This window comes from Homo sapiens, chromosome 11, assembly GCF_000001405.40.
Source record: "Homo sapiens chromosome 11, GRCh38.p14 Primary Assembly".
NCBI classification, from domain to species: Eukaryota; Metazoa; Chordata; class Mammalia; order Primates; family Hominidae; genus Homo; species Homo sapiens.
The window spans coordinates 128972175-128987406 of NC_000011.10; the positions used below are offsets into that span (position 1 = coordinate 128972175).

The 15232-nt window shown below is 38.4% G+C and overlaps 1 protein-coding gene across 15 annotated transcripts in view; it reads right to left on the reverse strand.

Annotated features, from left to right (window-relative positions):
• Positions 1-15232, reverse strand: part of ARHGAP32 (Rho GTPase activating protein 32) — a 314573-nt gene that overhangs the window by 7115 nt on the left and 292226 nt on the right. For 14 of the 15 annotated variants that reach the window (XM_047427929.1, XM_047427927.1, NM_001378025.1 and 11 more), the window contains 9 exons: positions 14350-14494; positions 13829-13911; positions 9655-9762; positions 9242-9387; positions 8379-8574; positions 6596-6741; positions 4389-4460; positions 1950-2828; positions 279-1258 (listed from right to left, as the gene is read on the reverse strand). In XM_047427929.1, coding sequence (XP_047283885.1) covers positions 279-1258; positions 1950-2828; positions 4389-4460; positions 6596-6741; positions 8379-8574; positions 9242-9387; positions 9655-9762; positions 13829-13911; positions 14350-14494 — 2755 coding nt within the window. The other variant, XM_017018597.3, reaches the window with a different exon arrangement.

Sequence of the window (15232 nt, forward strand, 5' to 3'; positions counted from 1 at the left end):
TTGTGTTACTGGAATAAACTACCGAGACACTTTAGGAAGAAAAGGGAGCAGGTACAGTTAAGCTATAGTCATCTAGGAGCTACTCCTTTCCTGGGGAAAAGCCAGCATCAAGGTAATGGCAGACTCCAACCTCAAATGGGAACTATCTCATGGAAACCAGCCACAGGGCTTAAAAGTAATTGTTGTGTCTGACTCAAAGATAACAACACACCCTGCTGAAAAGTGACATACCTTTGGTAATAGTATATTTCATCTCACTGATATCTTCCCCTTCTTACCTTGTGGGAATTATTTAATCCTATATTGGTTGCTGCTTGTACCTGCCCCACAACTGGTGGCTGCTCTGCAGATCTCTGGGAAGGCGGAGGGGGAAGGGGACGATTAGTTCTGTGCGTGCGCTGAAGTGTGGCAGCAGCAAAATCAGCAGTGGTGGGTTGTTCAGCCACATCCCAGCTGGCTTCCTTGGTGCTCATTTGGGCTGTTGCTGGAGTAGTTGTCATGTAAGTCATGGTGGCTGTGCTGGTATTCTCTTCGGGGGACCCAGAAGGAGGGTAGATTTTATCGCTAGGTAAATTAGGAGGTGTGGGAGATTTGTCTGCAAATTCTAAAGGGTGATGGAGTTTATCCACACTTGCACCAAGATAAGAAGGAGGCTGATCTCCACTGTAGAAACGGGGTGGAGACTGGTCCTGATCCAAGAAGGAGACAGTTGGCATACTGTTCTTCCCAGACTGGTCTTCAGGGAAACTTACATGATCATCAGACTTCTCTGAGTCTAAGGGAACTGAAGTAATTCTGGCCTTTTCTGGGTCCCCAGATAAATATGCTTGATGTGGCTGATTCCCTGTTAAGTCTACTTGGTGATGTTGCTCCCCAGATTCAGTTGTGTTGGAATGGGTAGGATCCCCAGTAGCTGTTGTCTCTGGTAGAGGATGGTCACAGTTTCCTGGTGCATTATTCTGGAGGTGGAACTGCTCTGCTGGTCGATCGGTTTGGAAATAGGCCTTATCTAGAGCAACTGCAGAGTAAGAACTGGACAGATTATCTTCAGTTGTAGCCACCGCTATGTCTCCATAATTTGTATACCCAGCCTGAGAGGTCCCTGGTCTCTTCAATGACTGAGTTGAGGCTTGCTGTGCGGACTCAGCTAATGCTAGCGCCAACATTCGGGCAACATTTTTCGGAGGCGGTGGTGGTGGGATAAGAGAGACTGAACTGACAGGAACGGAATCCTGAGGGGGGTCATGGGTAACTGCTCCTAGTGGGAAATTGGGAAAAAAAATGAGAGTGAAAAGGTAGCTTACGTTATCCTAAATGGAAAGCCAAACACTCCCCATGTGATCATTAAAAAATAGGTGCCTTCCATATTTCAAAATGGCAATCCATGATCTTCTATCCCACATGCAAATGCTGTTGAAAACACATCTGGTTCAGAAGGAAAACTAAAACAAACAGTGTATAAAGACTGCAATCTCTTCTTGAATTGTTACAGAGATGGGGGGGAAAAAAAGCATGTCCCTCACCTGGCTCAGAAAAGATTGCTTAGAAAACAAGCTTCAAGTGCTTGTAGACTGTTATTATGAACAGTTTTTACATTTGATGGTGTAGCTGGCTTGTTAACTTGGAAGGCTACAATAAAGATATTTTATTAGAAGAGAAAAACAGAATCAAGAGCTACGCAGTTGTGCAAAAATTATCCACGAATTCTCACCGTCCAAAGAGATAAGGGGACTTTTGTGAAGATTTGAAGCAGGACCATTGGCCCTTTTGGGGAGTTTTGTTGGACTGCTTTTAATTTAGGGCTCTGAGCCATCAGCACCACCCAGAAAAGCATTCTCTTTGATTAAAGGCTAGCTGTGGACAAATTTCTCTCTTAAAAGGCACAGATGGCACACAGGATTGAAGATCCCTCTTAACTTAAAGAAAGAATGGAGGAAAACAAACGGTACCTGTCTGAGTCTGTCCAGAAGCTACAGCCTTACTCTGACTGCTTGAGACAGACTGATCCTCTTTCCCTGGCAATTCTACTTCTTCAGCAGCCACCTGGTCCAGGGGCTGGACTTCAGATTCATATGCTTCTTGGGCAACTGTCTCATTTGTTTTCATCTTTACTATCTGGGTGGGGGATCTATTTGTGGCATCCCTTTCTTCAACGCATTTGTCCCAGGTTGAAGATGATGCATTCTGAGCTGTGGTATTTGAGACTGTACCAATGACTTCTGACACCCGTGGTGGTAGGGTCACTGAAATTGGCTCAGATATGCTCATAGAAGGTGATTTGCTTAATTTCCGTCCTATCTTCGGAGAGAAAGCATAGACGACCTTTTCAGTAAAGGAGGATGGCTTAGATGATTTATCTTCAGTTGGGCTCAAGTCCAGGGTAAAGAATGGACTCAGTTTCTCCTGAAGAGGAGAGACAGGTTCAGAGCTTGCTGTGCTTCCTGGAGTCTGACATTGGCTACTACCTGTTTCTGCATCCTTTTTATTGGCACTTGGTTTATCCTTGGAGTATCCTGGTGAATCTAAAAAGGAAGCACCACTCTCCAGACATTCTGATTCGGCCTTAGGAGGACTACATTGAAATGACATTGGATCAAAATCCAGGCTGGCTACTCCAATGTCTGGTGGGCTCAAGTCAACATCCTCAGCTGAATGAGGAGACATAAGGGCTGGGATATGAAGCAGCCCTCCTTCCTCCTCACTCTCATTGTCATGAGGCAGATTATCATAGGAGTTACAGCGGTTCCCCAGCATTTCTCCATTAAAAGAGGCAGACAGTGCATCACTGGAAGATCTGGGTCTTCTGGGTCGGAAGAGCTTAGAATCACCTGGAAAAAATGAATAACAGTGTCAAAGTAAGAACATCGTAGATACAGAATGCTGTGGTAAGTCACCTACTCAGCACAGCAGTAACTTACTATCTAGGTGAAGGAAGTGTTACTTCTCATTTTCTTTCTGAAAATTCTTTCAGTGCACACAGATCATTTACACTTGAGATAACAGAACTCCAAAACCAAATGCTAAATAGCAAACATGTGATAGAATCAGAGGGCGAATGCAGTATTTCATGGTCTGGAGAGGAAAAGAACTCAGAATGCTTGGATTCTATTACTAATCCAACACTGATTCTTGGTGTGACTTTGGGCAAGTTTTTCATTTCTTTGTGTCTTATTTTATCACTGGCCTCATATGACTTATGAGGTGGAATTAATCACTTTGAGTGGCATTTTGAATCTATAATAGCAAAATGGATGTTTTTTTTGTGGGGAAACATCCTTACAATATTCAAATTTCTAAATAAATTGAACTTCTCAATTAAAAAATCTTCATAATCCCATAAAGTATTTACATATATTTAGTAAAAAATTCCTTTCAGATACTAAACAAGAACTTCATTTTTTTCTTTAAGAATAGGTTTTAAGTTTCCCAAGCAGTCTTCAAGAGTGGCAGAGAGTATTACATAATTTTACGATGTTGCTAAATATCCAACTGGTAAAAAAGAAACTCTCTATTCTATTAGGATTATTTTAATTGCCATAGTTAAAAAGTAATTTAAAGAGGCAGAAACTATCTTAATAAATATAAATATATTGGCCGGTCACAGCGGTTCATGCCTGTGATCCCAGCACTTTGGGAAGCTGAGGTGGGCAGATCACCTGAGGTCAGGAGTTCGAGACTAGCCTGGCCTAAGTGGCAAAACCCCGTATCTACTAAAAATATAAAAACTGCTTAATTATACACTTTATAAAATTATGCTCCCGGGCATGGTGGCGCATGCCTGTAGTCCCAGCTATTTGGGAGGCTGAGGCAAGATAATCACTTAAACCGGGAGTTAGAGGTTGCAGTGATCCAAGATTGCGCCACTGTACTCCAAACTGGGCAACAAAGCGAGACTCTGTCTAACATATATATATATATATATATATATTCACAAATGTATTGATCACCCATAAAATTAATTCCTTACAAATATCTTCTGCTTAACACTAGTATCCACCTAGCTTGCTGCATTGTTTTGTAGGTTATCTTGACTAGTTTAATTGAAAATCTTGGAAAACTCTTATGCTCCCATTGTAAAATCTAAAGGAAACAGTAATAACACAAGTTTTCACTAGATATTAATAAATATAAATAGTTAACTTGAAATATTTTGGCTACTTTTATGTAAACTGAATAGCAGTCATGCCAAAAATGAAAAGATTAAAGACTGCTTCCATGTGAAAGCATCAATGAATTTTAATCTGAATAATACTAAATAGACACTAGTATTCCTAGGAAATGAGTTAATAGCCTATTTATTAAGCACAGATATATAAAAATATACTCAATTGCAGTATTCCTTTATGCAATATATTATAGAATAAAATGACTGATGCTTTTAGTCTTACCATCAACTGCATGGAGAGATGTAAGAGACTCCTCACTTTTAGCTGAACGGAGGGTTCCTTCTGCCCTGCCACCTGAAGAATAAAAAACACATAGTGTGAAGATTTCTTATTTGTTACATATGTGGTTAATGGGATCGGTGTTTTTCTTGATACATTTAAACTTTTGAGAGTGATTAGCTGTACATTTTGACAGCAATTTAGTACTCTATTACATAATGTGTTATACTGCACATTTTGACAGCAATTTAGTACTCTATTATATAATGTGTTATACTGTTCTCAAATGGTTTCCCGTGTGAAAAATCTCTTTTCTAAAGGATTATGAATTTGAGCAGAGAGATTAACTAAGATGCTTCTTTCTTTTACATTTCCTAAAGACCAATATGATATCTTGAATGACATCATACTGGATTTAGAGTGGGCCCTACACCCAATGACTGGTGTCCTCGTAAGAAAACACAGAGATGGCCATGTGGAGATGGAGGCAAAGATTGGAGGGATGCTGCCACACATCAAGGAATGCCAGCAGCCACCAGGAGCTTGGAAAGGCAAGGAAGGATTTTTCCCTGGAGCCTCTGGAGCAAGCACAGCCCTGCTGGTACCTTGACTTCAGACTTTGAGCTTCTAGAACCATGAGGGAAAAAAATTCTGTTGTTTTTTACCACTTGACTTGTGGTAATTTGTTATGGGAACTCTGGGATACTAACACAGGTAACTTTACGTACATATGTGAATCTTATTCGCTAAATATCTTCATCCTCTTTAACCCCTTGGCAGCACTACGAACACTTTCTTTTTAACCCCCTCCTCCCCTGCTGAGGATAGCATGCATCTCTTTTTTTCTCTGCCTACCTTTGTAATCATTTCTTCTTACTCTCCTCTCATGACAATTCTTCCTTTCCCACCTTTAAACATTGCTTCTCTCCAGCATTCAGCCCTCAGCTGGCTTCTTTTCACTCTGCTCCCATCTCCTGAAATACCATTCTTAGTCTCCTGTCAGTTAGGTGAATCCCTACTTCTCCTTGAAAACCCATATCAAAGGTTGTTATTTCCTAACCACTAGTCCCTCCTCTACAAGAGTTGACAATTCCTACCACAACTGTCTCATGTAACTATTTCTTTTATTTTTTAAGAGACTATGTCTTGCTTTGTCATCCAGGCTGGAGTGCAGTGGCACAACCATAGCTCACTGCAGCCTCAACCTCCTGGGCTCAAGTAATCCTCCTGCTTCAGCCTCCGGAGTAGCTAAGCCTAGAGGTATGTGCCACCAAGCCTCGCTTATTTGCAATTTATTATTATTATTATTATTATTATTATTATTATTATTATTATTTTGTAGATGCAGGGCCTCACTTTGTTGCCCAGGCTGGTCTTGAACTCCTGGCTTCAAGCGATCTTCCTGACTTGGCCTCCCAAAGTGTTGGGATTACAGGTGTAAGCCACTGTACCTAGCCTAAACCACTATTTCAATAACTATGATTCTGCACTAAAATTTACTTTCTCACACGTATGACTTCCCAATTTGACTTGGAAGGCAGAGGTACTACCCTAATTTTCTATCTGCAGAGCCTGCTATCAAAATAGCTAGCACATGCTCTACATGATTGCAAACTGAATGACGAATTAAATGAATTGAACATTATACTTCTAACATTATCTAAGAAGTACTACTATCCTTCCTAGATTCAGAAGTTGTTAATATCAATAGAATATGGCTTTTAAACTATTTTTAAAAGAGTACTTTTTCGACAGTAATAGATTTATTTGATCTAATAAGATACTCTATTAATGAGACATCTAATAAAAAATACCTTCTTTAGTTAAAAGAGTTATAAACTTGAAAGTTATGTTGAAACAGTTTTGAAATTTTTTAGATCTGTAAAAATACAGATCAATAAATTTAGATACCATAGCAGTATTTATTTACAACAATATACAAGGTATATGTGAATTTAATCACATTTACACTATATATAATCTATATAGTTTCCTTAAGAAAAGAAATTGCATACTTCTACATATTTATATATAATTTATGTTACTCTTCAATTTAGGAATAAAGAATCGGTGAGAGAAGACACTCTGTATGTGTGACACAACTGTGAACACGTTATGGAAGCAGATCATAACAATATGTGAAGAACGTGCCCAGAACAACCGAAGACCATCATGACAGCAGCAGAAGTGAGAATCTCCCAGGCACTCACCTTTCAGAGCCATGGCTTTCATCTCTGAAGGCTCACTCTCATTCCGCTGCAGCTTTCGTTTAGAAACAGATGATGATTTCCCCAAGTTGAAAAAGGAACGCCAGCTACCCACAGGAGACTTTTTCATCTTATTTTGAGGCCTCTTTCTATGAAAGAGAAAAAATAATCAACATTAAGATAGCCATGGGTCTGTCTTTTCTTACAGAAAAGAAATGAACACATGACAGAAAGAACCAAACAGGCTGGAGAAGCATAAGTGAAACAGTAAGCAAACATCCACCTTCCAGACAGCACACTCTACACAGTGCAGCCAAAGCAGAAAATGGATAGTAAACATGCAGATTTTAGTACTAGTAAATATTTTCACAAAGATCATTTTTATATATATCTTCATATTTGGATCCAACCTCACAAACTGAAAAATAAGTGAAAATAAGACGTATCTGGGAATAGGAAATATTAAGTGTCCAAAAATAACACAGAGTTAAAGAAAATGATTTTAGGTGTGAGTAGAGAATAAAGGCAAACAAAGAAGACAAGGATTAAGAATAATAACAAACATATACTGAATGCCAGGCACTGTGCTACCTGCCTTATATGTAATATCTCCTTTAAATCAGATACAACCACATGAGGTAAGTACTATTATTCTCATTTTGCAGCCAAGGAAATTATGACACTAAGAAGTTCAAATAACTTCTTTAACATTATAAAACTATTAAATGATGGAGTCAGAATTGGAACCCAGGCCAATCTACATCCCAGTATCTACTCTCTTAACTACTACTCCATAAATAAATCTTTGAGTAAATTATGGAACTAGAATATAAAATCAAGATGCTAAAGACAAACTCAGGATGACAAAGTAAGAGTATGTTCCAACTTTTTGCTGATAGAATGTTTTTAGTCACAGGAAGTGAAAGGAAGTTAGAGGAGTATACTAAAATACGGGAAGAACAAATTCTAAAGTTATATTAGTACTACCCAATCCAGAGAATCAAAATCCTTACATTCATGTGTAATAGCCAAAGGAGTAGCAGAGACATCAAAAATAACTTTTACATACATTAGTCTTCCTACTATAACCTAGTAAAGAAGATACAGAAACCATGTTATTATCATTTCTTTAGAGTAATAGAATTTCAGAGCTGGAAGGGACATTGAAAGAGTGAACTGCTGCAGTGGTTCTCAAGTCCTAGCAGACATCAGAATCACCTGGAAAGTTAGATGAATGACCAGTTGCTGGGTCCCACGCCCAGGGTTTCTGATTCAGCGGGTCTGGGGTGTGACTGGACGACTGCACAATGTGCACTTCTAGCAATTATCACCAGGTGATGCTGATGCTGTTGGCTGGGAGACCACACTATTAATCTCTTCTAACCTTAATGTGAAACCAATGTCAAACAAGTCACTGTCCATTCCTGACTTTCTGAACAAACTCTTCCAACACAGCTTATTTCTAAACAACTTTATAAACAACATAGTTCAGAGAGCAAAATCAACCCATATAGTGACAGTATATCCTTATTTTTCCAAACAATTTTCCCTATACCACTGATGTTCTTCTTTTATAAAATTACATGACATTGTAAAGCAAGAATCATTTGCATCATTCCCCATGAAGCGGTAAGTATCATCCATATTCGAATAAACAGGTTTCTCTGGGACTAGCCTAGAATTCAATAGAGTAATACTAAAATACAAAATTAAAAGCAAACTAAAAGAAAATAATAGGACATAGCTATGAAAATCATATCCCAAAATAGGATTTAACAAATTTTACCTTTCAAGTGGGAACTCAATTATGGTATGAAATTTCCCCTGAAGTGCAGCAGGTCCTTCTCCTACTTCGATATATTTATTTTCCGTCACAATTGGAGAATTGACCTGAGCTTGTGTTCGTGCCTGGGCCTCTTCCAATGTCAGCAGTTTGGTGGATGGAGAGGATACCAGGAGGGACTTGGGCCTTGATAGAGAAGCTTCAAAAAGAAAAGGAAGCTGATGAAGAGAGTCAACTACGTGAGTGTATTCAATTTGTTAGTATCTATCTCTCCATCTATCTACCTATCTGTTGTTTCAAATTTTCTTCAAGTATGTTAAATAGCAAAAACCATAGTGCTTTATATTAAATGAAAAACTGAAGGGGACATACCAGTGGCACACATACATACATATAAAACCCTTTAATAACTGTTTTCCTTTCTTAAAAGATATGAGAAAAGCTTTATATTAAATAAAAAACTGAAGGGGATACACCAGTGGCACACATACACACATATAAAACTCTTTAATAACTGTTTTCCTTTCTTAAAAGATATGAGGAAAGGTGATCAATCACTCAGATATTTTTAGTTTTGGAAGCAATTTTTCTTCTTCTGTTCCACTTTATACTTTAATACACATCAATAATGAACGACAAGTTTTTTAATGTGTCATGAACTTAGATCACAATAGGTCTCATATGTAGTATTCACTATATACACACAAAATAACTGTCAAATTGTGCATTTTGGTAAGCAGCCATACATTATTAGCTGCCTTATACCAGTGACACGTTTTTGTTGTTGCAATAAGAAATGCATGGTTTGCTACTCCTCTGGAAGCTGAGACACACCCTCCTGGTAGGAAGGGCCATCGGAGCCGTACCTGCCCCCTCTTGCATGGCCATGCTGATTCTGCCGCTGAACAGCACATCAACGTGATTCAGGATGAACTCAACAACCACAGACTGAATCCTCACTTCCATGAAAGCTGCTGTTCCACTGAAGCAGGCAGATTCTATCTGTTTTGATCTGTGAGGTAAACATTTTCATCACAGAGTTGTAAAGATAGCAGTCGTCAAGGGCCTCTTTTTTTAAACGTGTAAATCTCAGACAAACAGAGGAAGAAATCATACTTTTACTGTCCCTTAGCTAAGGCCCAGTTGCCTGTTTTAGGGAGATGCAAATAAAAAGAACAGATTTGTTTAATCTTTTAAAAGTTTCCTTAAAGAACACTGATGAATCAGCCTTTTATTTAGGATTAGTTCTACTAAAATTAATAAGTGAAATGCAAATTACCTTAACAGGTTTGGAGCCCAAACAATTGCTAGATTTTTTGCATGCATATTTGTGATGGAACAATAGTCAGCTAGAAGAGACAAGTGTCTCATCAGGAACTCCAGTGTTCTGGAAATAAAATACAACATATTAACAGAAAGAAACATGATGCAGCAGTATAGAACATAAAAGCCTGCTAATTAATTCCTAAGTTTGCAATAGCAAAATGAAGAAAGGGACCATACAAACCCAAGAGAACTTTTTTTTCCTGCTTAACAGGTTGAAATATTACTATTAGAAGTGAATCTTCCACCAAAGCTAGTTTCTGGAACAAATAATATTTTGAAGTTATGCCATTCTACTTGCAGCAGACATACTAACAGGAAAGGATTTCAACACTTCTATGAAAGAAAACAGTAATGTCTCAAAAGCCTTAAAACAGTTACAAGAAAAATTCCAATAGGCATCAAGGGGAGAATATTTGAGCAAAGGATATGCTTTTGAAATAAAGAGCCTAATTCAAATCCTCATATTCTGGTTTATCTTGACTACTTAAAATTTGCTTTACTTAAACAATTCCACATATATTGTGATTAAACAATAGGGAAGAGTACTTTTGAAAACAAGACATGATCACCTTAAATGTAAGTTAAACCAGGTAAGTGCCGTGTGTGTGTGTGTGTGTGTGTGTGTGTGTGTGTCTGTGCGCATGCACACACAGAGGTATTATCTATCACCTAGCATGTCTCAAAGCGTCCTACCTAATAGTGCCCAGAGTAAAACTACTAAAGACAACGGGCTGGGTGTGATGGCTATTGCCTGTAATCTCAGCAGTCTGGGAGGCTGAGGCAGGCAGATCACTTGAACTCGAGAGTTCAAGACCAGCCTGGGCAACACAGTGAAACCCCATCTCTACAAAAAGTGTAAAAACAATTAGCTGGGTGTGGTGGTGCATGCCTGTAGTGCCAGCTACTCGGGAGGCTGAGGCAGGAGGATTGCTTCAGCCCAGGAAGGTTGAGGCTGCAGTGAGCTGTGATCATGCCACTGCACTCCAGCCTGGGTGACAGAGTGAGACCTTGTCTTTAAAAAAAAAAAAAAAAAAAAAAAAAAGGACAATGAATGGGAGACAGAAATATAAGGCTGTATTATATGAAACAGTAATGAAAGATAAAATGTGGTCTACATCCGAGCCACAAAGATTCAGATGGGCCTAACATGAATTTGAGAGGAAAAGGAATATCATAGTTAGACTCGGCATTAGGCATTGTTCAAGAGGCTTTTACCAGCAGTCTCATTTAATTCTCATAATAGCTCTAACAAGCACAGAATTACCATTCCCCTTGTACCGAGGACAAAGTCAAGGTTGCTGGGGTTCCACAGACTAGCAGTGGCAGTGCTGCATTTCAAATCAAGGTCAGAGTGGCTCCAAAGTGCCTGCGCGTTCAAGGGCATTGTAGTTGCTTTACAGTTAAAATGGTAATTCTCTGTCTCTGCTGTATATAATTAAGAGAAGACAAACCGAAGTGAGGCTGGCCTGGGTATGACATAGAGGTGAGAAGCTTGAGAAACGTATTTAGATCGCAAGGACAAAAAACCAAACACCGCATGTTCTCACTCATAGGTGGGAATTGAACAATGAGATCACATGGACACAAGAAGGGGAACATCACACACCGGGGCCTGTTGTGGGGTGGGGGGAAGGGGGAGGGATAGCATTAGGAGATATACCTAATGTAAATGACGAGTTAATGGGTGCAGCACACCAACATGGCACATGTATACATATGTAACAAACCTGCATATTGTGCACATGTACCCTAAAACTTAAAGTATAATAAAAAAATAAATAAATAAAATAGAATAAAGCCAGGCTCCTCAGCCAAAAAAAAAAGAAAACCATGTAAAATTTTATTACTTGAGGAAGGTGAATGAAGGGAATGATTAAAGGACTTCAGGAATGTATTTTATGAGAATTGCAAATTTAAAAAACCAAAGACATCTATTTGGTTTGCCTATCTGATTATAAGGATGTCTTTAAAAGTTAATGTAGAATTTTAGTCAGGATTCCACAAAATGAGCACTTTTATATTCAGCAGATGAGAGTGTGAATTGTATAAAACTTCGCAACCTGGAACGTAATTTGGATATTATTGTCTAATATTGAGAATAATAATTTAGATTTCCAGAATTTCACTGCCAGGTCATTATCCTGTAATAAAAAACATAATCTAGATACCATGTAAAAGGATGGCCCTCATAGTAATATTCAAAATTGGAAAAGGAAGGCCGGGCACAGTGGCTCACACCTGTAATCCCAGCACTTTGGGATGCTGAGGTGGGTGGATCACCTGAGCTCAGGAGTTTGAGACCAGCCTAGGCAACATGGCAAAACCCCAACTCTACCAAAAATACAAAAAATTAGCTGGGCATGGTGGTGTGTGCCAGTGGTCTCAGCTACTTGGGGGGCTGAGGTGGGAGAATCACTTGAGCCTGGGAGGCAGAGGCTGCAGGGAGCCAAGATTGTGCCACTGCACTCCAGCCTGGGTAACAGAGTGAGACCCTGCCTCAAAAAAAAAAAGGAAATAGAAAACACCCCATACCACCATATATGTAGATTAAATATGCAAATTATGAAAGGTTAAATAACATGGCATATCCAAATGAGAGAACATGATGGAAAATTACGCTTTTCAAGAACATCTAAGGAATTCAGAAATGTTAATGTTAAAATTTTGGATAAAAAGTCTATATCAAAAGATATACAAAGTAGGAGATACACACACATATAAGTTATAGTGAAGAAAAGAGTTACACAAGATATTGTATACATTATAAAGCAGGAGATATACATGTACATATTAATAGCAGGCAAGGTATGAAATCCAGGTAGGGCATACATGGTAAGTAATATAATATATATTAGAAGACAGGCAAAGTGGATAATATTAGGATATATATACATATAAGTATCTATAGTCAAGCTATAAAATAGTGTGCAGAAGATATAAAACATATATGCAGTGTATATTATTGAACATCTATCTGCAAGACTCTATTCTGGAAATACAGTGATAAACAAGACAGAATTCATGACCTCAAGTACCTTATGTTTTAGAAAGATTGTATACAGATAGTCTCCAACTTACAATGGTTCAATTTATGATTTTTTGACGTTTATGATGGTGCAAAGGTGATAAACATTAAACAGAAACCACAATTAGAATTTTTTTTTAAATGGAGTCTCGCTTTGTTGTCCAGCTGGGGTGCAGTGGCATGATCTCGGCTCACTGCAACCTCCACCTCCCAAGTTCAAGTGATTCTCCTGCCTCAGCCCCCGAGTAGCTGGGATTATAGGCGCGTGCTACCATGCCCGGCTAATTTTGTAGTTTTAGTAGAGACGGGGTTTTGCCATGTTGGCCAGGCTGGTCTCAAACTCCTCACCTCAGGTGATCCACCCACCTCGGCCTCCCAAAGTGCTGGGATTACAGGTGTAAGCCATGGCGCCTGGCCTATAGTGCTGATTTTTGAAATATATACATAAGCAATGTCATTTTGAAAAAAAAAATTAAATTACTTAATTTGCATATTACTAGAACATCCGCTGAGTTTAATTTCTTGTCAGTAATTGGAATTTTAAAATGTATCTTTTGTTTCTTTGCATACTGGAATCTAGTTTCTACTGTTGTCTTTTTCTAACTGGCAAAGTAACTTTCAATTTTATTCTGGCTTTCTCAGACATAACCATAAATATTTCCAACACTCCAAACTAACACACAAATCAAATTAGGTTTTAAAATGTAGCAACAACAATAAAACCAAAGAAGAAACTAAAACAAACAAACAAAAAACCCCCAAGTTTAGTCAGCCATCCCTTTGTCCATCCATTCATTCATTCAACCTTTAAGTACCTATGGAATGCTAAACAGTGTGCCAGGCCCTGGGGATCTAAGGACAAATGAATATCTATACATAAACATATACATATACATATAGGTACACATACATATAGTGTGTGTGTGTGTGCGTGTGTGTGTGTGTGTGTGTGTGTGTGTATATATATATATATATATATATATATGAAATGGAAGTTTAATTAGAACTCCAAGGAAGTTTAAATAGAAATCCAAAGGAAAAAAAAACGTTTACAGGTCAACCGACTTCTACCTCTGCCTGGTATTTACCCACTGTGGCTGACCTGTAGTGTGGTGGGGGGAGCTGCTGGATGACATCGTGGATTTTTATCAGCCTTTCTTCATCTGTTGCTGCTGAAACTGCATCCTAGAAGAGTCACAGTACAAAATAAACTAGTGAGCTCTGTTAGTAAAAATGAAAGTTCACTTACAATTCAGTTTTCACTCTGAGATCAACTTGCTTTGCTCTTGGATGTGAAATGGCGAGGAAACACAACATTGTATTCAGGAAGTAAACTGTTTCCACACAGTGTGAACACTGAGATCTACGAAACTAATTTTAAAAAGGCTTGATGGTCATCAGTATTAAGTGTGACAAGACTAGCAGCTCAAAGTCAGAAAGCACAAGAATGACAATGTGAAAACAGCAAAGACCACCGACTAGCTGGCAATATTTGTTTTTTTAAGGAGTCATTTCAGTCACAGAACTATTTCTTACATGTGACCAAACCAAAGTTCATGTGTTTTGAACAAAAGCACAGCAAAGTTCCACAAAGAATTAGATTCAAAAGTAGCCTGTACTCACAGAAAATTTCTCATACAGCTGGTAGGTAAGCAGAGGGTTTGGGAGTTCCCGGAAGTACAGCTTACATAGGGAACCCACAGAATGGATGTCCTGAACATACGGTTCTTTCGTCAGGTCGGGGACGTGCTCAGAGTCAAATTCATGGCTGACGTAGACAGAAGAGGACAAGCAAATCATTTGATTGAGGAGAGCAAATATGTGTCTTAAAAACAGAAAGCATAAGCTCCAAAAGTGTTCAGCTCTATCTCAGTGAGTTGCTATTATCTTCCATTAATTATATTTCATTTAAGTTGTGTTTGGACTTCAGCAACAACTGGATGTCTTAGTACAAGATAGATGTCTTTCTATGTGGAAATTAAGGGCACAGCTTTAATATTAAAATGGACAATAGCCTCTGAGATACATATGAATGAACAGCTCTTATAGTACAACAGTCTGAAAACAGGACTCCTAATTGCTAATGACTTGAATATCCAATATTTTGGCAATTCCAGAGACTAGTGTTGAATGGCAATTGATCTATGAACAATTATGAGCAGAAATTCCTCAGATACAGATTGTACAACACAGAAATGCTTTCCCGAAGCAGGATAAAAAAGTCAGAAACAACATAAAGCAATTCCTAGCTAACAACAAATTTTAATAGGCAGGAAAATCTGTATCATTAGAATGAGTAAAATAAAAGTTGTACGCAGAATAGTAAGGCAGAGTAAGCTCACTCTCCAGGAGGTTAATTAATATTCATCCACGGGCATGAGACCACTTATCATCTACCTAGAGGATTAATGTGTGTGTACAATATGAGATTTACTTTGTCTTAAACTGAAGACTGAAACTGTCTTTAGTACAAGGACTAATTTATGTATTTTTCAAGCATGTATTT